This window comes from Homo sapiens, chromosome 14 (assembly GCF_000001405.40).
Source record: "Homo sapiens chromosome 14, GRCh38.p14 Primary Assembly".
NCBI classification, from domain to species: domain Eukaryota; kingdom Metazoa; phylum Chordata; class Mammalia; order Primates; family Hominidae; genus Homo; species Homo sapiens.
This window is the reverse complement of record NC_000014.9, coordinates 50,333,063-50,356,428: the sequence shown is the minus strand read 5'-3', so window position 1 is coordinate 50,356,428 and position 23,366 is coordinate 50,333,063. Positions and strand designations below refer to the sequence as shown.

Below are 23,366 nucleotides of genomic sequence, written 5' to 3'. Positions count from 1 at the left end.
TTTAATTTAGAGACATCATACTATAAAATAAAATTTTGTAAGCACATTCACAGTAAAGGTGAGTTAGCATTATCTGTGTGACCTTGGGCAAATTGCTTACAGGTGTCTTCACCTGTAAAAATGAGAGTTTAGGACTAGGTAAAGTTTCAGGGGACTTCTAGCTGTATAATGCTATGAATTGATAATCAAGTACCTTAGGGGTCAGAAGACTTCGGTTATCTTTCAGTTTCATATTTGATCTATTAGACAATATCAACAAAGCATAAGCTACTGATGCTGGTGTTGCCAGGTTGGGTTACCAGCCTGCTTGGTGCCAGGTGGGGTCCCCTTAGGTTAGTATACTTACCCTCAGAATGTCCTGTGATCACTTCTTATATTTCTAAGTACAGATTTCTTAAAATACAAAGTTGAGCATGCCACCCTCTACATAGAATCCTTTAATAGCTCCCCAAAGCTTACTGGTATGGGGAAATCCCCCCAGCATGAGATACAAGATCTTACTCACTCTACCACCCCACTCCCCACCAGTTTGCCCATAATACATGACCCATCCTACCAAATTCCTTGCATTCTAGGTTCAGGACATGCTGTTTGCTCAGCAAACGTGGGTTTCCTTACTTTCTCTATTGTACCTGGAAGACTCCTGCTGTCCTTCCTACATCTCACATATGACTCCTTTATGATGCCTGCCAGCACCCTGGCCTCTATAACATCTTCTGGGATTGTTTATTTACATATCCCATTTGCCCAGTAAAATGCACAATCCTCAAGGGCAAGAGCTGGGCCTTCCTCACCTGTGGATTCTCAGTGTCTTCTAGCTGCATATTTGGCACTTGGTACATACTCAGTACTTGTAGAATGACTGAATTAGCAAACCAATAAATTGATAGTTACAAAATGATTTTAAAGAAGAATAATCATAACAAGGTTTGGATTTTCAATTTAAAGGTTACTTTGATTTAAAATTTCTAAAGCCTAATATTGTCAAAAGAGATTATGAAGTACTCTGCTGGAGCAACCTGTCCAGAAGGCAATTTGGCAATCAGTGTGTGGAATTAAAAGTCTTAGAGGCATTATCTTAAACCCAGCAAGTCTACTTTGAACAATTTACCATAAGAAAATATTTGAATATATGTGCAAAAACTTAATTACAAAAGTATTTATTGTTATGGGATATTTTTAAGTATTGTTTATAAAGAAAAAATTGCAATCAACTGAAATATCCAACAATAGATAATTAGTTACGTAAATTATAATAAAGTTTTATGATAGAATACAGTGGACCCATTAAGAATAAAGCTTATGTTAACAGATAAAACATATATTGACATAGGAAAAAGTTCATGAATAGTTGTCAAATGAAAAAAAATTATACTATAATAAAAATACATATTATTTCATTTTCATAGAATTTATATATAGATGGGAAAAAAGACAAGTAATCTGAATATTACTAGTGATGAGTTATGATTGTTATTGATATTTTTCATTTTATTTGTGCTTTTATATTTTTCATGTTTATTATTATAGTAATGTTTTAATGTTTAATTATTAAAAATAATTCTTGCCAAATCAGACTCAAAGACTTCTCATTTGAACCTGAAATGGACACTAATTCATCTTCTTATTAACATGCTTGTAACTTCTGGTACTCCCTTGGAAAGCTTTTGGAGAAGATCCAACTTCATGTTGCTACTAACACAAGCAAGTTTATACCACGAGATATGTATCCTGTTACAGTAACATGAATACATGTCAATTATAATTCCCAGTGCTTAGGTTTATGTTTTTATAATTGTCCCCAATCACAACCATTCCTTGTCTTATACAGAATTTAAAAAACTTTGTATCTATTATTCTATAGATGATTGGTCTCCCTGTGTCAAAGTTTTACAAATAACTGGTTTGGATGTTTTCTCCTCATTTTTCTGCCTACCTATATGTTCAGCCAGACATAAGACTTCATTGATTCTTTCCTGCACAGATTTAATTACCACCAGTTCCTTCTCTGAATAACATAGTTTGTTCAAAGAACATCTCCTGGGTAATGTACATTACTGCAAGTTTTCAGTTTCTGACAGTGAAATTCCAGAAATGTTCTCTCTCTTTTTTAGATTAAAAATGATATGTTGTTTGTTGCAAATTTTTAAAGCAACACAGACATTGAAATGAAGGGCTGGGGGTGGTTGCTCACACCTGCAATCCCAGCACTTTGGGAGGCCGAGGTAGGCGGATCACTTAAGGTCAGGAGTTCAAGACCAGCCTGGCCAACATGGTGAAACCCCGTCTCTACTAAAAATACAAAAATTAGCCGGGCATTGTGGTGGGCGCCTGTAATCCCAGCTACTCGGGAGGCTGAGGCAGGAGAATCACTTGCACCCGGGAGGCGGAGGTGGCAGTAAGCTGAGATAGTGCCACTGCAGTCCAGCCTGGGTGACAAGAGCAAAACTCCATCTCAAAAAAAAAAAAAAGAAAAAATTGAAATAAATAAAATCAATAGCTTTACATACTGTTCTGCATTTATTTTGTTTTTATTTAGTTAAATAAATTAGTTAATATTAGAAACAGGGTCTTGTTGCTATGCTGCTCAGGCTAAACTTGAACTCCTGGGCTCAAGCGATCCTCCTGTTCCAGCCTCCTGAGTAGCTGGGACTACAGGTGTGCCCAACCACACCAGGCTGCATTTTTTTTTAAATGTACTCTGGAGCTTTCTCCCTATCTATACATATCTACCTTTATATTTTAAAAATGGCTGTATAGAATTCCATTGTATGAATATACCATGATTTCTTAGTTCAATCTCCTATTGATAAATATTTAGATTGTTTCCAGTTATTTTCTATTACTAACCATGCTACAGTGAAAAACCATTTTCGTAAATATTTCTTTAGGATAAATTCTTAGTAATATATTCTTTTTTTACAAGAGTTTGGCCAGACCCCCAGCCCTTCCCATCTTTGTGATAGCCTTGTGTAGAAATGAAGTCTTAATGAATGCCAACTGTTTGATGATCTGTGTCACAAATGTTAGACAAGCAGCAGTGGAAAGGATGACTTCTGTAATTGAGAATGCTGGAAAGGGATACATGTTATTTCTTCATCATCTCCGAAGAATTTCACATTTCTGAAGAATTTTTAAAAATCGGTTTGATGTCTTCACTTTCATATGGTAGTCGTTTACATTTCTGTCTGTCTGATTTTGTTATTAGGACATTAGGGTCACAATACAGCCTCCCCTAAAAACTTGGAGAGACAGAGATTGCTTTCTGAAAGTTATTTTGTGAAACGAACACATAATGCATCAGGGCGGAGGTATGTAAAGCAACCTTAGACAGAATGGCTTCTAGGCTTGTTAGATTTGACTGACTCTATGTTTTATCTAATGATAAATTATTCCTAAAGTCGAGATGGATGCAGTTAAGCAATCTCAGTTTAACAGCAATGAAGAGTCAAATTGCCTACTTTCCCTCATCCAAATTCTTTGCTCATCATTCTGATTATAACTTGACTTTCTTTATGAAATTGTCTACAAAGAAAGCATGAGCTAGTACTCAGAATTTGGGTATGGGTGAATACGTTGGCACTCTAGTTTTATATGACAGGCTAGTTAATTTGTTTAATGTTCACTTGCCCCTTTGAAATGGATACTGTCTTGGTATGCTGACAAAATTGAGTGTCTGTGTCTGCAAGCCTGAAGACGGCAAAGGCAGCCAAGCTTTTCCAAACGAAGCACCACATTCTCTGTGTTCTGTGATGAGATGGCTGTTTTTCCCCTCAACTCTATTCTTCGCTTAATATTCTTTTCTATGTATTTTCTATATATGTTGCATTATAATTTTTAGATCTATTGTCAATGACTGTAAAATATTACATTAAGTTTATTATGTCTCACCATTCCTCTCTGGTTGAATACTGAGGTCATTTTCAGTGTTTGGTTTGATAATGATTCTGGTATAAAATTTTCCTACAAATAGATTTTTCTTCTTTTGTAATTTTCCTTTAGAAGTTCTCAAATTGGTACTTTTGAGTTGTAAATTTTGCCAGACAGAACCAATTTACTTTCTCACCAAAGATATGGATTTATATATATATATTTTTTCTTATAATTGTGCTACCTTAGGCTCTATTATTAAAATATTTGATGTATGAATTCTATCAAACATATAAGGAAGAAATAATAGTAACCCTACCCAAACTCTTTCAGAAAATATGAGAAGGAACATTTCCCAAATCATTTTATGAGGCCACTATATGCTGATGCCAAAACCAGACAGACATTTCTAGAAAAGAAAATGACAGATGAATATTCCTCAAGAATTTAGGTAAAAAATCCTTAGCAAAATTATTAGCAAATCAAATCCAGCAGTATAATGTAATGTAAAAGAGTGATTAATATATCTCAAAATATCAATTTTTAGACATCAAAGCCTTTCTATTGTGAGAGATGAAAATTTAGCTCCCTGAAATCACTATCTCCTCTGCTTCCTGTTCTAATCCTCCAAAATAGTTACATTAATGTTCACTGTTCCCATTATTGTGCCTATGTAAATATTACTTATAGCTGAGCATTGTACCATACTATGGCTTCCTTTTGTACTTTTTCCTCAAATTAACACTTGCCTTGTTTTAAAATTTGCTTGACATTCTTTAATCTTGTTGCTAATTCCCTCCCCTGACCTTTTTTTTTTTTTTTTTGAGACAAGGCCTCACTCTGTCACCCAGGCTGGAGTGCAGTGGCCCAATCATAGCTCACTGCAACCTCCGCCTCCCAGGCTCAAATAATCCTCCCACCTCAGCCTTCTAAGTAGCTGGGACTACAGGTGCCTGCCACCACGCTTGGCTAATTTTTTGTATTTTTTGTAGAGATGGGATATCACCATGTTGCCCAGGCTGGTCTCAAACTTTTGGGCTCAAGCAATCTGCCCACCTCAGCCTCCCAAAGTGCTGGGATTACAGGCATGAGCCACTCACTGCGCCCCACCCCAACTCATTTTAATAGCCTCTCAATGTACATTTTCACAGGATAGTTACATCAGGTAATCCATCAGTTCCATTTTTTTTTCTTGGTAATGTCTGGCCTTTAAACCTCCTTTTCCTTCTGTCTGGCTTGTTGTACTCAAGACCTGCTGTCCAGCTGTATCCCTTGGATTTCCCTTTGCCATCATCCTTGTAATTCCTGCCGCATTTCTCTGTGGTCAGATTCATTACTTCCTGGATTTGTCTTCCTCTTTCTGGGTTTACTTGCTTATTTTGACCAAGTACATCCATCTCTAACTGGTTAAAAAGATGATATAATCACACAGAAATCTAGACTCCAGGGATTTCAAATGACACCCCCCTCTCCCGCCCACACCCTTCCTTAGAATCAAGCAGTTGGGAACCCTTTATGTTCCTGGGGGGTGAAACAAAATTCACAAAGCAGGCAGGAAGAATGCCATGAGGTCACACCAGTGGAGAGCTCAGCAGTGTGCCCATTCTCCACATCTTCCCACTAGCGAAAGATGGATTCCATTCTGCCCTCCCCAGAAGGAGTGCCTCTGGGGAGCTGGGCAACAGCCCAGTGGGCTCTGGAGGAACAACTGGAGCTCTCAACAAGGCAACTGAACTGAAGGCCTCAAGGAAGACCACCTGACTACCTATGGAAGTGCCTTCTTGAGCCCCTTCCATCTTGGTGTGGGACAGAAAAGAAAGGGAGGATCCTTGCTTGATTTTCTCATACCTTGCCCGACTCTCATTTCTAGGTCGGGGGAGCTGATATCTTCAGGATTTTAAAGCCCACCAGACCAGGCCCAGCTGGCTGGGAGTCCAAAAGGCCCAAGTTGGATCCTGTCCAGCTCCCTTGGAGTACTATTTACTAGGAAGAAAAGCTGGGGATATATATGGCTCGTCTAAAGTTCAATCACCTAATCCCATGGCAGAGAAGAACCAGGCCCAGGAGAAAAGCTCAAGCCCCTTCTTCTCTCATAGATTAAGGTTGAGCTTATGTATGATTGCTCTGAAAGGAGAGCTTGCTTTTGAGCTAGAAGAGCTATTAAAGGGAGTAAAGAATGAGAAGGAATTGAGCCCCTTTTCTTCATACCTGTTCTAGCCCTTCCCCACTCTGCCCTAGAGCTCAGCCACAACCACTATTTACCACCAATGTGGAAACAAATATCTTAAGGTGGAATGAGTTCCCTAGCCTTGCTAGCACGGGCTACAATTTTAAGAACATCTTCCTTAGGCCAGGCATAGTGGCTCATGTCTATAATCCCAGTGTTTTGGGAGGCCAAGGCAGGAGAATCACTTGAACCCAGGAGTTCATGACCAGCCTGGGCAACACAGCAAGACCCCCATTTCTGCAAAAAAAGTATTGGCCAAGCACGGTGGCTCACACCTGTAATCCCAGCACTTTGGGAGGCCAAGGCAGGCAGATTACCTGAGGTCAGGCGTTCGAGCCCAGCCTGGCCAACCATGGCCAACGTGGCGAAACCCCATCTCTACTAAAAATACAAAAATTAGCTGGGTGTGGTGGTGTGTGCCTGTAATCCCAGCTACTTGGGCGGCTGAGGCAGGAGAATTGCTTGAACCCAGAAGGAGAAAGTTGCAGTGAGCCAAGATAGCACCACTGCACTCCAGCCTGGGTGACAGAGGGAGACAACGTCTCAAAAAAACAAAACAAAAAACAAACAACAACAACAACAACAACAAAAAGACAAGAGAGAAGAACAAAGAACATCAAAACATCTGCCTTAGCCTGAAGGGTCCAGCCAGTCACCCAGACTCTTCCAGAGCTGTTAAGTTTGTTGAATATATTCATATTTATTTAAGATTGCATGAGGCAGAGGGCATGGCGATGATACCCCTTACTGTGCATGGCTCTTGGGTCACACTGTCCTGTCAGGATGGGTTGCTTTTGCCACCTGGAGTGCAGTTATCCCGTCATCTCCCTCTGCCATCCTCCCAGAAACTCCTGCTGCTTCCCTCCTGCATTGGGTCTCCAGCCCACATAATCTTCTTTGATAATGGACTGCTCCTTTCTGGTGGACTGCATCCATGAGGGGCTTCCTGAGAAAGAGCAGATGAGAGGTACAGGAACAAATAAGAGGTTGAGACCTTGCCCTCACATGCTTTATTCTATCCTCACACTGGTTTGGTATTTTGTTTGGATATAGGCTTGTTTATTGGTTTTTGGTTGAAGATAATATTCCTTCAAATTTTTGAAGTCATTATTTTAGTGTCTTCTATCTTCTAGTGCCAAGAAGCCTGATGCCATTCTATTTTCTGCTCTCTTGTGAAGTCCTGTTTCTTTTTCCAGAAACTTGTAGGAGATTCTCTTTGTGCTCAGTGTTTTTGATTATGAAACTCATGAGTGTGTCTTGATTTTCATCCATTATCCTGGCACTTGCTGGGCCTTTTCTGCCTCAGAAAAAAATTTTTGAATTGTTTTGTTATTGACTTCCTGTTCATTGTTTTACCTATTTTCTTTTTCTGTACCCTCTATTATTGGGATGTGGACTCTTGAACTGGTCCTCCCATTTTCTTGTAGTATCCTGTTCTTATTTCATGGATACAACAGCTTTCCTGTTCTCTCTGAGGATATTAATGGTATTTAAAAATGTTCTCTTCATCCTCCATAATTTCTGTTTCTTTTAAGTTGCTTTTTTCTGTTTGTTCTGGTCTTCTACTTTCTTATTAGAGGCTTTTCTTGGGCATCATATAGTCTCTGGTTATATGCTCATAGTTAAGAACAAGGAACTACTGGAAGCTCTGAGCTTCACTATGGTTTTCTAGCTGGGCCATTTGCTGGTGGAACCCCAGTGTCAGAATCTTCAGAGCTTTCCCTCTGAGCTTCTCCCAAAAAAGTCTTTGAATATTGTGCCTGGAGAGTGAAGTCTGCCTGCCGGGTTTCCCAGAGTCTAGTGAGGGAAGAGGGGTGGGGAATCCCAGCATTCAGCATTTTGTATGTGTACAGTCCTTTAATCCCCTGTTTTCAGAACAGTATCCACATTTTCAGAACGGTATCCACAATCTCACGTATGCCAAATGTCCTCTGCTTTATCCTTTCCAGAAACAAAGCTCCAGCCTTCTGCCCAGTAGTGGAGAGTGTTTCCCTATGGGCAAATGATAGAGGAGGGGATCTAGGGATTTAATTATTTTCTAAACAGTTTTTTCCATACTCCTTAGCTCCTAGTTCCATAGAGACTTTGGCTGCTACTTCCCGAGCCTTTTGAGGATTCTTTCTGGATGAATTGGTTGGTTCTCCACCTTCCCTCTCCTGGCTTAGATTTTCGCTTTCTAGGATTGTTAAGTTAATTATCTTTCATTCAGTTGCTTTCTGGATTCCACATTGTGTTGCTGTTATCTCTTCTCCTGTCCTCTCTGACCTTGTGAGGTTTTGTCTTTAGAAGTCTTCAGCGTAGTTCTAGTCAGGTTTCAGGAGGGAACAAAATTAGCTGGGCTTGCTTAATCCATCATCTTAATTCAGAAGTCCTTTGACACACTTTCTTCAGTTGGTCCTGTGATACTGTATTCTCCTGAGTGTTGTCTTATTCACTTGATGCTCTCAACTCAGGTGCCCTTGTGGGGTCCCCTTCCTCTTTCTGCTCCTCTGTGGGGAAGGGTCTCACAGCTTCCTTCCGAGCTCCTCTTCTTTAGCTGGATTCACTCCTTAATTGGCTTCATTCAGTCCTAGGCCCCAAATACCACCCATATGCTATGCTTCTCAAACTCATATTTCCAGCCTGACCTTCCTTCTGAATGTAGAATTGCTGACTCACAGTCTTCCTTTGGGTGTCCAGTAAGCATTCCCTTCCCCCAAACCAGTTTCCCCTCCAGTGTTCTCCTGAGTAAAAGGCACCACTGTGTACCAGTTACTCAAGCTAAAAACCTGATGTCATTCCTTGATTCTTCTCTTTCTCCCACATCCAATCCCTCAGAAAATCCTGGAAGCTCTATTTTAAAAATATAGCCCAAATCTGGCCACTTCTCACCACTTAACCACTATTTTAGATGTTCCCTTAACCAGAGAACCTTTCTGGGCCATCCTATATAAGGTGATCAACCCCTTCTAGCACAGCACTCTCACGCTGTCTCTCTCTCTCTCTCTCTAAATCCAACACCACAGAATATATTCTATCTATTTTTCCCCTTTTTATAGTTGTAACTCCCTTCTCCAACAGTGAAAAACTGGCCCCTCTTATTATGAGTGTTTCAGCTAAAAGGGATCTCAGAGTCTGAGGCCTCTGCATTACAGAAAAGAAACTGAGTAAAGAAGTGAAGTGAGTAGCCAGTTCAAGATGGCACTAAGTAGTTTGTACAGAGTTTTTACATTTGAGAGTTTTGTAATTCTGGGGATTAGCTGTGCTGGGGATTAAAGGAGCAATAATGATATGCAACTATAATTTACTTTTATATGCTCCTTTTATATAATTTATTTGGGGAAATGTTTGTAGGAACTAAAGTTGCCTGGTACTGGTAACCCTATATTAATACTTAATTTGCAGGCCGGGCATGGTGGTTCACACCTGTAATCCCAGCACTTTGGGAGGCTGAGGTGGGCGTATCACTTGAGGTCTGGGGTTTGAGACCAGCCTGGTCAACATGGTGAAACTCTGTCTCTACTAAAAATACAAAAATTAGCTGAGTGTGGTGGCACACACCTGTAATCCCAGCTACTGGAGGCTGAGGCAGGAGAATCGCTTGAACCTGGGAGGCAGAGTTTGCAGTGAGCTGAGATTGTACCACTGCACTTTAGCCTGGGTGACAGAGCAAGACTCCATCTCAAAAAAAAAAAAAAAACCAAAAATTTAATTTATTGAATAATCAAAATATATTCCATTTTTCTGGACAAAATGTAGAGGCTACTGGGAAGGCTGAGGCAGGAGGATCCCTTAAGTCCAGGAGTCCAAAGTTCAGTGAGCTATGATAGCACCACTGCCTCCAGCCTGGGCAGCACAGCAAGACCCTGACCCTAAAAAAAAAAAATTAAAAGTGGAGGCTGGGGAAAAGCATTCCCCCTAATGTCTCATCTTAGTTGCATTTTTCTAAGCCTTTTTTCTCGACAGTGACTTTTTCTAGCATCTATGCCTATATGCCGCTCAAACAAGGAAAAGAGAATTTGGAGAGAAGCAACTTCAAACACAGGGACATAGACCTGGTCCAGCAATGTCCCAACTAGCCTTCCTGGAAGTGGCCTCTTCCTTTCCTTCATGTGATCCCACTCTCTGTTCAAACACCCCCTGATCTGCTTGAAAGGATTTCCTGAACGTCTGGCCTGTGACAACAGTGGCCTTGTAGCCTCTCTCAGAGGCTACAAGTGACTTTTTGTAGTCCCCTTAACACAGCTACTCAAGAGCTTCCTCCCTGATTTACTTATTCGTTTTGGCTGAGGACCACAGCAACACTGTGGAATGTTTATCAAAACAGTAAGTCCAGCCAGTGGGTTGGGGTCTCAGAAAATAAATGCACTCTCTCTGTGGTTCGTTTCTTACACTCCCTGCCTTGGTTTGTTGTTGTTTTAAATGTTTCCAGGCGAGATGCCTCTTTCTAATTCACACAAAGTACCTGCTGGAACTACTGGTTGCCCTGGTAATAAAAGATGTGAGTCAGGGAAGAAGTACTGGGAGCAGTGGCTTGAAGTTTAGCTGTGGTGATGGAGGAGAGAGTAGAAAGATGTACCTGGGCTGCAGCTGGCTGCCATGGCAGCATAGGGAAAGAACCAGGATGCCTCAGGTTTTTAAATTATTATTAACATTTAATAACAATTTACGATGGGGGAGCAAGAGAGACTGCATCAAGACCCTGGTAGGGCAGATCTGGGATGCTAAAAAACAAATAGAATGGTTTGCAATGTAAAGCTCTTTGCTATAATCAGTAAAGTCTTCATTATCTAAAAAACCAAACAAACAACAGCAATGCTGCTCTGAGAGACCACATGCCCACACATGGAAGATGAGTCCTGCTTCAAGGCTGTCTGTTTGGGGCAACTTGAGAAAATAAACAGCATCTTTTGTGCTGAATAGTAACTTAACTTTACATCAATAAAAAATTCCTTGTGAAAATGGAGCTTAAGTTACCAGGCAGTTTCCCAGTGGTGTCACAGATGTTTGAGATAGGTGGTTATAAATACTTGTTGAAATCCCTGTAGGTTTTCATGTCCTTACCAAAGAAGTAGATGTTTGCATTTTTGTTAACCTGTTCTCCCTAGACTTCAGCGGTGTGCTGGTCGCATATTTTTACATTTTGGATTCATGGAATGATTGATGAGTAAGATGACTATGTGTCACCTAAGATTTTTCACTACTAAAGCCTATCTTCGTTTATTTTTTCTTTTCTTGAGCTGAATTCCATGGCTACACTAAAGAATGTGTTTGTGCTGCTTTATTTTTATTAGGGTACCAGAACATCTCGTGAAGAGCATAACTTGGCAGACACTGCAAGCTGTAAATTTTTGCCATAAACACAATGTAAGTCTCATGATCTCTTTTGAAAAGCAACAAGGCTCCCCTTAAGCTGAGGTGGAGCCTTGTACAAAGTTTATGTCACACTTCTGTGGGTAAAATTTTTTACCCAAATCTTCATAAGCCTGGTTGGGTAAGTATAGGCTAAAAATGCCAACCTAGCTATTCCTTCTTGCTCAGGTTATATAAAACATGCATTTTTATGATTTTAAGAAACTAGTGCCAGGCATGGTGGCTCCTGCATGTAATCCCAGGACTTTGGGAGGCCAAGGTAGGCAGATCACTTGAGCCCAGGAGTTCAAGACCAGCCTGGACAACATGGCAAAACCCTGTCTCTACAGAAAATAAAAAAAAATGAACTGGGTGCGGTGGTGTGTGCCTGTGGTCCTGGCTACTCAGGAGGCTGAGGTGGAAGGATCACTTGAGCTGGGGAGGTCGAGGCTGCAGTGAGTCAAGATCATGCCACTGTACTCCAACCTGGATGACAGAATGAGACCCTGTCTCAAAAAAAAAAAAAAAAAAACCACAAAGAACAAAAAATTAGTCATACATTTATACTGCTTAGAAACTACTCAGATTTAAGGTAGAACCCCATTCACTTGGAGTCTATGTGGTCTTGTACTCCCAAAAGGCTATGAAATTGGGGAAAACCCCAGGTGATTCATGCCTGCTTAGCTGCAGTATGTCAGTTGCAGTAGGTGGAACCCCAAACCCAGTGCAAAGTGCCAGTGTCTGCTTTGGTGAGATATGAGTGTCGAGTCTCGAACCAAGCAACCTATCGAAAGCCTGTGACACTCCTGGCCACAGGCGGCTGGTAGAGGCATAGTAGACTATTGCCCAGGTGACGTGACTTCACAGATGCTGGGAAGCCTGCTGCCCCATCCAATACAATACTGCCCACTGTGCATAGAAACCAGATTCCAAAGTTAGAGCTTCGTTTTGGCCATGAGTGCAATTTCACTGCAATGTTTTATCTTACTCAACTGCCAGGGTCAATTTAGGTGGTAGGGCTAAATCTCCTTCTTTATATTGTTCCAAATGATTTTTCCTGATGCTGCATTCCCGGAAGGAGGAAGTATGAGAGTAGACAGCACTTCTCCCTGAGGAGCCTCCAACTAGCTAAAGGCTATAATCCTTGTAATACACAGGGGAGAGTGGACACCCATATTGTTAGTTACTATGACTTACCACTCTTTCAAGAGCAGGTTTTAGGATGGGGGAGCAAGAGAGACTGCACCAAGACCCTGGTAGGGCAGATCTGGGATGCTAAAAACAAATATAATGCATACCACAGTTCCCTGGAGAGCCCCAGACACCCTGTTTGGCTCCATGTGCTGATGGGGGTGGGTGCAGAAACTTGTAAAGAATTCCCAGAACAGAATAGGAGCACATGCTTGCTTACAAGTACTTCTGACCATATGTCATCATGATATTCATGGTGTACCCATTTATAGCAATATGTGAAGCCAGTGGTAAAAAGAATAGAGATCTCAGGATGTTAATTGCTAAGAACCAGATCGATTATAATAAAATCCCAAAGTTGTTTTATTTACCCCAAATTTTCCAGAATAATAAATACCCATGGGGAAACATTGACACTGATCTCTCATCCTGAAGGTCCTTTGGAGTGAGAACTGGTCATGCCCAAGAAGAACCCAAGTCCTCTCCAGATTCTTAAGAATAACCCCAGGGTTTCAGGCTGCAGGCCAAAGAGGGTCTCTCAGGTTGCAAACGATCTAGCATTCTCCTCCTAAGAGGAAAACACTTGGGAAAGAGGAAGATTATTAGGGACCCTGAGCAGTATTTTGACCCAACTCAAAAAAAAAAAAAAAAAAAGTAACTCTTAATTAGGTTGTTGATTTGTTCTTTGCCAAAGAAATTGTCATTTAATGAGAAAATCATGTGAAGATTCTCAAACGTTCTTTTCTCTAAGATCACCCTGTTTAAGAATGTTGGCTGTGGGCTGGAAACCACAGGTGATTTGAGTCTAAATTCTGGAGGGGGGGCCGCATCTCGAGGGGTGGCTGCAGCTCTCAGAGCACTTGTGTGTGGGACAGAGCTGACATCTAGCGACTCTCCCCAGAGGGTGAGGGCTGCTGCCTACTCTTGTTTATCTTGTCCGGATGAATGTCAGAGCTGGAAGGGAAATCTCTTGGCAAGCTGTGGTTGCCACCCTTCTCTTCCCAGCTTATCTCAGCAGGCCCAGGGCTTGTCCTGTTTACGAGGCTGACTGTGTTCTGTTCACAGTTAAACAACTGAATTGTGAATTCTGCTTATGCACCAATTTGCAGCTCCTGCAACCATGATGCAGCCTCACCCGGACCTTTCAACATTTTCCCTTTCACCTAAAACTGTCAGATTAAATACAGGACACCCTGTTAAATTTGAATTTCAGATAAACAAGCATAACTTTTAGTATAAGTACATCCCAAGTGCTTCATGGGATGTATTATCCTAAAAAAATTATTTGTTTATCTGAAATTCAAATTTAACTGGGTGTCCTGTATTTTTCTCTGCTAAGACCGGCTACCCTACTTTCATTTTCCTTTCACTCTTCTTGGCTCTTTTGGGCCTTTTAGGAATTTGGGATGATTCAGGCTCTGACAGGCATGGTACTAGATTTATTTTAGGCTGCTCTTTTGCTGTTGTCCAACAGGCCAAGGAGAGATTTAAATGATTTATCCAATATTTGCTAAATAGTCATGTGTTTCATTTATCCCATATATAGTTCAGCCTTAATATTGTTTTTGTTTTGATTTGTTACACTAGTGCATACATAGAGACGTGAAGCCAGAAAATATCCTCATCACGAAACATTCCGTGATTAAGCTTTGTGACTTTGGATTTGCTCGGCTTTTGAGTGAGTATTGACATTTTCTTTTGTTAAGTATAAAAAATGAAAAAGTTCTTGATACAACAAAGGATCTAAATGCTCTAGAAGTATACAAGATAGTACTTGTATATTTAGGGCATAAGTGTGCTATAAATTATAATTTTGTAATTACCGAAAATGTGTAGATAATACAATGGTTTACCTATGTATGCTATCCATAAATTATACCACAGTAAAGTAGTTATTAAAAAGTATCTTACCTCCCTGATTTCTACCATTTCTTGCTAAAATACTTTTCAGAAGTGCTACTTTAGAATAGTGGCTTTCAACCTTGGAGGCAGATTAGAATCACCTGGGGAACTTTTTTTTTTTTTTTTTGAGACAGGGTCTCACTCTGTTGCCCAGGCTGGAGTGCAGTGGCACAGTCACAGCCCACCACAGTCTCGACCTCCCCAGTTCAGGTGATCCTCCCACCTCAGCCTCCTGAATTGCTGGGACTACAGGCATGAGCCACCACACCTGGCTAAGTTTTGTATTTTTTTTGTAGAGACGGGGTTTCACCACATTGCCCAGGCTGGTCTCGAACTCCTGGGCTGAAGCAAACCACCTACCTCGGCCTCCCAAAGTGCTGGGATTACAAGTGTGAGCCGCTGTGCCCAGGGAACTTTAAATTCTAAGCCAAATAACCCCCCCCCCCCCCCCAGACCCTCCCCAGGGATTCTGTTTTAATTGGACTGGAGTGTGGCTTGAGCATCAGTAATTTACAAAATATTTATTTAAGTGATTTGAATGTGCAACTAGAATTGAGAACCAGCGATATAGAAAGGCCACAAAATTGGGCACAGGCTTGACTTCTGAGATCTCCCCCTCAGTTTTGATTCCAGCCTTCCGCTGCTGTTTGTTTTCCATGTTCCATCACTGGCTAGCTGGACCGAGTGACTACTATACAGACTACGTGGCTACCAGGTGGTACCGCTCCCCTGAGCTGCTGGTGGGGGACACGCAGTACGGCCCCCCGGTGGATGTTTGGGCAATTGGCTGTGTCTTTGCTGAGCTGCTGTCAGGAGTGCCTCTGTGGCCAGGAAAATCGGATGTGGATCAGCTGTATCTGATTAGGAAGACCTTGGGTAAGTGGTGTTTTTGTCCCACCTTTTGGAAAACTGGATATTTCCCCAGGTTGGGGCAGGGCAGAGCCAAGTTCTCAGTCTCACCTAATGCCCTTTAAGGCATTAGTTAGGAAAGAGGAAAACTCGAAGCCTCATTTAAATGACTCCATTAAAGGTGGCCATATTTGTTTTAATTAAAATAGTTAACAATTATTGAGTACTTACTCATTGTCCAAAAACAACCCAAGATTCTTGAGCAGTTTGGATCAAGTTAAAACATTAATAATGACAATAACAACAATAAAAACTCACATTTCTGTAAGGGCTTAGCAGTTTACAGAATGCTTTCATGGTTTACCTTGTTTATGACGATGGGGTAATCCATTTGGATGTCCTTAATCCCAGCCTGCCTGACTAGTTTGGATTATTCAGACTCTATGGAGAATGATTCCCAACCTTCTAAGTGTCAGGAGGAAAGCTAGTTGTAATGTCACTCAGTCCGTCTTGCTTTCCCACCCCAGTGCCCTTTCCTTTCTCTCTACCCTTGGAGGCGGAGGGGAAGGGCAGGGGAGAAGGGAGGGAAGATGAGAAAAAAAAACCCATCAGTAGTGATTGCCCTCTTCCAAAGTCAGGGAGTTTAGACACTACTCGCCTGAGTATCGCAGTTTAAGGTAAACTTTTCCTCCTCTAAACTCTTGTAGGAACTGCCATCGCCATGCCTTCCCTTGTAATCTTATCTTCCCAAAGATACTGTAAACTTCCTGATGGTGAGACCACGTCTTATATTTCTACTTACCCTCCACCAGTGTCTGCACATTGTAGGCAATAAATGTTTGCTGATAGCTTGACTTTGTTGGGTGACATGGAAGGCGCTTTGTAGGCCTTCCAGGGGCACTCAGCCTTTCTTGGCTGTGTTTCCTCTAGTGATTTTAGGACAGCCTCCCCATGTCACCCCTCTGGCACTGGAGGAAGAAGGTTATTAAGGTGCAAGGAATTGTGCTCATGATGCTGCTCACTGAGATCTGGGACAAGGCATTGAGGGTATATCTTGGTTGCTCACCCAAAATGAGGCGAGGCAGCAGTTTTTGCATTTGAGTGAGAGGTAAATTTCTAGGATGCATCAGTAATAATTTGATACCCTGGAGTAGGAACTCCCACAGTGCTCTGGGAAATGGGCCTGGTTGTGCCCCAGGAGAACACCTTTGAGTATCTCCCTATATTCTCTGAACAAAATCCCTCTTCAAGTGTAATATAGAATTTTACATAAAGGGGATTTTAGCTGATGTGATGGAAATGTGGGCAGGAGGAGCTTCCTAGAGTCCCCTAAAATATAGAAATACTCTTCTTGTTTCATTATGTCACATTGTAAGTGCTTCTAAACAGTAGATGAAATGGGATTTCCATGTGATTGCTAACTGGTGAAATAAGAAAAGATGGTCCCAATGTGGAAATGTATTCCTTCTAGCTAGAAAATCCGTGATTTCTTCCTTCCTTCCCTTCCCCTCCCCTCCCCTCCCTCCCTCCCTCTCTTCCTCCCTCCCTCTCTTCCTTCTTCAAATATTTATTGAGTGCTTGCTCTATGTTAGACACTGTTATAAGTGCTAGGGCAATAAAATTTTATCTTCACCTATCAGGATTCAGTTAATATGATTTTGATTTGTGGTTGTTGCCGTTTTGCTGTTTTTTAAAAGGCATTATTTTATTTGTGTGCATGTGCTTCTGAGTTGTTTGGTTTGGGTTCCTTCAGTACACTGTAGGCTCTGAGAACAAGAACCTGAGAGCAAGAAGCTTGTAGCCCTCAGTTTCTGTTGCTTGCCTCCTCTGTGCCTAACACAGTGTGCTGTCCACCGTAGGGATCAATACAGGTTGCTGTGGGTTGCCTGAATGCCTCTCCTTCTGATTGCCCAAGAACACTGCAGTGTCCATGCATATGGGCACAGACAAACACAGCATTGATGGAAGAAAACCATAGATCAGTGTTTGCTAACCAATTTCACTTACCTTTTTCTTTTCTTGTCCAAAGGGGATCTCATTCCTAGGCACCAGCAAGTGTTTAGCACGAATCAGTACTTCAGTGGAGTGAAAATTCCAGACCCTGAAGATATGGTGAGTTACCCATTTTGGAGAGAGCTCTGTAGGCCAGGCTAGCTAGGCTTTGGTTGTTATTCACCTCCTGAGCCCCATGGCTCACCCTGCATTGGAGGTCAGTCTAACAGAGAAAAAGAAAATTGGAGCAAATTGGCTAGCGAGACTTTAGCCTTACTGCTCATTTAGAGGCTGCTGATAACAGAGTCTAGCCAGCCTGTTGCATAGGAAGGCAGCGCTGCCTGCCTGCTGGAGCCACACCTGTCCTTTATCATTTCTTAGCAGTTGAACCTAGGTAGCTTAGAGCCAACCAACTTTTAGACCTAGACCTATCAAGGTAAAGTTAACTAGTTTTTCCCCAGCATTGTCCAAATTCCCTACTCTACTATGCCCATGGTCTCCAGACCATGGGAAAAATCATAATGAACTTCCTTGGGCTGGGTGCAATGGTTCACGCTATAATCCTGGTACTTTGGGGAGGCCGAGATGGGCAGGAGACCTCACCTGAGGTCAGGAGTTCCAGACCAGCCTGGCCAACATGATGAAACACTGTCTCTACTAAAATTACAAAAATTAGCCAGGCATGGTGGCACATGACTGTAATCCCAGCTACTCAGGAGGCTGAGGCAGGAGAATTGCTTGAGCCCAGGAGGTGGAGGTTGCAGTGAGCCGATATTGCACCACACCACTGTACTCCAGCCTGGGTGGGCGACAGAGCAAGACTCTTTCCAAAATAAATAAATAAATAAAAACTTCCTTAGCCAGCCTTACTCTGGTGCTTACCCTCTATTATGGCCAACCCAAATGGGGGAAGCCCATTTTTTAAAAGCAGAAAAATTTGAAATGTTTATACCCCTAATCCACTTCCAACAATTTATTCCTGTGAAACCATAATCCAAGAGCATAAAGATGTGGCATTATTTAATAGAAATTATTTCCTTTAGTATTCCATCAGTAGGGGATTATGTATGGTACATCCTTACAATAGAAATACCTCATCAGGCCAGGTGTGCTCATGCCTGTAATCCCAGCATTTTGGGAGGCTGAGGCAGGTGGATCAGGGGCTCGAGACCAGCACGGGCAACAAGACAAAACTCTGTCTCTACTAAAATACAAAAAGTTGGCCTAGCATGGTGGCACGCACCTGTAGTCACAGCTACTCAGGAGGCTGAGGTGAGAGGATCACCTGAGCTTAGGAAGTTGAGGCCGCAGTGACCTGAGATCGCTGCACTCTAGCCTGGGCGACAGGAGTAAGACCCTGTCTCCGAACCAAAAAAAAAAAAAAAGAAAGAAAAAAAAGAAATACCATACAGAGCCAGGTGCGGTGGCCCACACCTATAATTCTAGCAACTCAGGAGACAACTGAGGTGAAATATTGCTTGAGCACAGGAGGTCTAGACCAGCCTGGGCAACATAGCAAGACCCTGTCTCTACAAAATATTTTTAAAACTAACTGGGGTTGGAGACACATGCCTATAGCTCCAGCTACTTGGGAGGCTGAGGCAGGAGAATCACTTGAGCCCAGGAGTTTGAGGTTACAGTAAACTATGATCATGCCACTGCATTCCAACCTGGGTGACAGAGCAAAACTCTGTCTCTAAAAATAAGAAATACCATGTAGTTAAAAAAAAAAAAAAAAGACGGTTATAAAACAGTGTAGGCTGGGCATGGTGGCTCACGCCTGTAATCCCAGCACTTTGGGAGGCCGAGGCAGGTGGATCGCTTGAGCCCAGGAGTTCGAGACCAGCCTAGGCAACATGATGAAACCCTGTCTCTACTAAAAATACAAAAATTAGCCAGGCACGGTGGCACACACCTGTAGTCCCAGCTACTTGGGAGGCTGAGGTGGGAAGACGGCTTGACCTTGGGAGGTGGAGGTTGCAGTGAGCCGAGATCACGTCAGTACACTCCAGCCTGGGCAACAGGGCCAGATTCCGTCTCAAAACAAAAACAAAAACAAAACAAACAAAAAAACCAGTATGTATAATTTGACAAAGTTTTAATAAAAATGTAATATGCACACAATGCATATATACATATATTTACATATATAAATACAAAATAATGTGACAACATCTGGGAAATCACAAAGCTTTTTTTTTTTACATTTGTGAAATAAATGGCTGCAAGGATATATATCAAAATACTAAGAGTGGATATCTCTTTTGGGTGGGATTTTGGGGTAACTTTATGATTTTTTATATTTTTGAATGTCTTCTAATGAGCCTGTATTGTAATCAAAAACATTTCAGAGCATAATTAAGGTCTGTGAAATCTTGAGTTTCTACTGAGGAAGGTATCTTAAAAATGAAACTAACCCTCCAGTTTCTCACTAAACCCTTCAGTTTTCAGATGGAAGTTCTGTCTCTACCACTTGTGTTTTGTTTGTTCCCTAACCTCTTGGCTTGTCCCACAATGAAGGTTTCTGCTTCTCCACTGCCTCTTCCTCCTGTAGCACTAGCATTCAAAGTGGGTCTTGCTGGGACGGAGGGGCAGGAATGACACCTGACATATGGGAGGTGACCCATCTGGCTTCCTTGTGATCTGGACATTCCCAGTTGTGCACTAAATATCCCTAGTGATTTCCTGTTCACTTGTCTGTTGGTGAAGCCTCAGAAATAACCCAGGTTTCATAAATGTAAGAAGCTTCCCATGGCTTCCCAGAGATTGTCCTGCAGATTTCCTGTTGACAGAAACACAGGAAGAGGCAGTGCGGGGGCTGCACTGGTTGAACATCTGTGCCCCAGTCCCTCTGCCTGTCAGTAACCCTGACAGAGGGAGGCCTGCTTGCTTCTGGGGCTGTGAAACGCTCACAGATGGGCTCCAGCGTATCACAGGCAACCAGTTGGCCTCATCCAGACATTGTTGCTGAGACAGCAGAGCTCGATGATATAGCAATGGCACGTCAAACCCCAGTGATGCTCAGATTCAACCGACAGAAAGAACAAGAGAAATATTTAAGCTATGGAGCATGAGTGGAAGTATGAGGGTGCAACAGGGGCTACTGTCAAGGGCTAATACAAACCTACTTTAGGATTTTTTTTTTCTCCTGTTGACATAGGGAACTCTGAAACAGAGGCTCTTCTCTCCTACTCTTATCAATGATTAGTATGTGTACAATCCAGAATTGGTTATTGGGAGCTGGTTGCCTGTCCAAAATAATACTGTACTGTGAAAGCTGGCCACAGCACCAGGACTGTTTGATTAGATGAGCCTGGCCAGTCACTCCAGTCGGCAGCTCACACACTGCCACTTTTATACACACAATGCACTGCAGTCACTTATTTTGCTCAGCTTGGCTGGCTCTTATTTTCTCAGCCTCTCTGCTCAATTAGCCTTTGTCAGTGGTATGTCTCTTTAACTGGCCTGTTTGTCTGCCTGACATTCGGCATTCCTCCCATTTATAGTGTTATTCCTGATTGTCTCCAGCACGTGACTGGCGCAAAATCGCCTTATACGGCCAAAAGGAGATTGACGAATGCCCCACAGGAGACTGTTTAAACAGCAGGCTGAGAAGGGAAGCAGCAGGCCCTAGTGGGAGGAGACAACAGTGTTTATTCCAGAAAATCAAGAAGCATCTGTTCACCTGGGTAGGGGAAAAACATCTATTTTGCAGCTCCCTTTATATAATTAGAATTAGAGCTGCCTTTTTTTTTTTTTTTTTTTTTTTTTGAGACAGGGTCTTGCTCTGTCGCCCATGCTGGAGTGCAGTGGCACATTTATGGCTTACTGCAGCCTCAATCTCCCAAACCCACGCCATCCTCCCGCCTTAGCCTCCCAAGTAGCTAGTACTAGAGGCGCACACCACCACCCCCAGCTAGTTTTTTGGTATTTTTTTTAGAGAGACAGACAGGGTTTCATCATGTTGCCCAGGCTGGTCTCAAATTCCTGGGCTCAAGCCATCAGACTTGGCCTGAGTGGATTATAGGCATGAGCCACCGCACCCAGCCAGCTACCTTTTTATAAATCACACTATAAATGCCAAAAATTATTCTCAGGAAAGGCAAGTTATATAACTTGAGCCCCCCCACCCCCTCAAAAAAAAAACTGCTCAGAAAAGTTTTTTTTCATTAGTATTTTTATTTATAATTTGCTATCTCCATTGGTATCAGAGCAGGAAGTTAAGGGAGTAGTTACGAAGCAAATTTGGAAAAGCGATTTGGAGGTGGGGAGAGAAAGCTTGTGAAAAAGGCAAAGGGAGACTGTTTTGGGCAGGAGGTTGGGTGGGCAAAGGGTGGAGGACGTGAGGAAGGTGCCAGGAAAATGTTTCTATCAAAAGATTTAATTTGAGGTAACCTTAATTTGAATACATGCTGTAAATTAAAAACCTCTTTTCTTTTCAACAGGAACCACTTGAATTAAAATTCCCAAACATCTCTTATCCTGCCCTGGGGCTCCTAAAGGTAAAAATCATGGCTTCCAACAGACCAGGAAGCACACAGCAGTTGTCATCACTGGGGAATCTGAATTACTTATGTCAATCCATGCAATGAAAAGTGTTCCTTTTAGAATTCTTCTCCTGGCTGGGCAGTGGCTCACACCTGTAATCCTAGCACTTTGGGAGGCCAAGGCAGGCAGATCACCTGAGGTCAGTTCAAAACCAGCCTGGTCAACATGGTGAAACCGTCTCTACTAAAAATAAAAAAAATTAGGCGTGGTGGCGCTCGCCTGTAATCCCGACTACTCAGGAGGGTGAGGCGGGAGAATTGCTTGAGCCTGGGAGGCGGAGGTTGCAGTGAGTTGAGATTGCACGACTGCACTCCAGCTTGGGTGACAGAGTAAGACTCCGTCTCAAAAAAAAAAAAAATTCTCCTTGGAAAAGTATATTTTCAATTTTTTTAAATGGATCACATCCTATTAAGAAAACATTTGCAAGTATTTTCCACTTTAAATAAACCTAACATTATATTTGAAGTCTAAATTTACACAAAACAGAAATTTCAGGGGGGTGGTGATTGTTTTACAAAGGGAACTTTTTCTTCAGAAAATCCTTAGCTGCAGGATCCTTTTAAATAGCTAACTCCCTGGTACATTTGAAGTACATTTAAAAACTTGATATATATATTTATATATATATATATTTAGAAATATAGCTCTTATGTAAAATGAGGTATGGTATCAACTAAAATGTTTGCAAGTTACAGTCAATGTCCCACATGGTTTAAAAATTATTTATTTACTGATGTATTAAATAATGAGTTAATATAAATGATAATGTAACTGTTACCTGAAAGGGGTCCCAATCCGGACCCCAAAGGAAGGTTCTTGGACCTCATGCAAGAAAGAATTCAGGGCGTGTCCACACAGTAAAGTGGAAGCAAATTTATTAACAAAGTAAAGGAATAAAAGAATGGCTACTCTATAGGCAGCAGTGCTGTGGGCTGCTCAACTGAGTATACTTACAGTTATTTCTTGATTATATGCTAAACAAGGGGTGGTTTATGAGTTTTCCAGGAGAGGGCAGGGATTTTCTGGAACTGAGGGTTCCTCCCCTTTTTAGACTATTTAGGGTAACTTCTGGGCATTGCTATGGGTATTTGTAGACTGTCATGGTGCTGGTGAAAGTGTCTTTTAGCATGCTAACACATTATAATTAGTGTACAACGAGGAGTGAGGACAACCAGACATCACTTTCATCACCATCTTGGTTTTGGCCGGCTTCTTTACTGCATCCTGTTTTATCATCAGGTCATTGTGACCTATATTTTGTGCCGACCTGCTATCTCATCCTGTGAGTAACAATGCCAAACCTCCTGGGAATGCAGCCCAGTAGGTCTCAGCCTTATTTTACCCAGCCCCTATTCAAGATGGTGTTGCTGTGGTTTCAACACCTCTGACATAACCAACAAAAACTGAGTCAATTCCTTGGAGTATGTAGTTGTGAAATTTAATCTAATCTATCCAA

General features: G+C 41.9%; 1 protein-coding gene across 16 annotated transcripts in view, besides 2 other annotated features; it reads left to right on the top strand.

The window, feature by feature from the left end:
• Positions 1-23,366, top strand: part of CDKL1 (cyclin dependent kinase like 1) — a 71,034-nt gene that overhangs the window by 40,870 nt on the left and 6,798 nt on the right. For 14 of the 16 annotated variants that reach the window (NM_001367064.3, NM_001423763.1, NM_001423767.1 and 11 more), the window contains 5 exons: positions 11,371-11,443; positions 14,207-14,297; positions 15,197-15,397; positions 17,400-17,482; positions 21,808-21,864. In NM_001367064.3, coding sequence (NP_001353993.2) covers positions 11,371-11,443; positions 14,207-14,297; positions 15,197-15,397; positions 17,400-17,482; positions 21,808-21,864 — 505 coding nt within the window. Of the gene's footprint in view, positions 1-11,370; positions 11,444-12,151; positions 14,050-14,206; positions 14,298-15,196; positions 15,398-17,399; positions 17,483-21,807; positions 21,865-23,366 lie in introns of those variants that run through there. The other 2 variants (XM_005268160.5, NM_001423764.1) reach the window with 2 other exon arrangements.
• Positions 8,624-8,918: an enhancer, noted in NCBI's record as "tiled region #14884; K562 Activating DNase unmatched - State 5:Enh". NCBI's record gives its function as "activates a minimal TATA promoter and a strong SV40 promoter by Sharpr-MPRA in K562 cells {active_cell/tissue: K562}" and the evidence as "EXISTENCE:reporter gene assay evidence [ECO:0000049][PMID:27701403]".
• Positions 20,265-20,886: an enhancer, noted in NCBI's record as "OCT4-NANOG-H3K27ac-H3K4me1 hESC enhancer chr14:50802261-50802882 (GRCh37/hg19 assembly coordinates)". NCBI's record gives its function as "activates a minimal SCP1, AML or CMV promoter by ChIP-STARR-seq in naive H9 embryonic stem cells {active_cell/tissue: H9 hESC(naive)}" and the evidence as "EXISTENCE:reporter gene assay evidence [ECO:0000049][PMID:30033119]".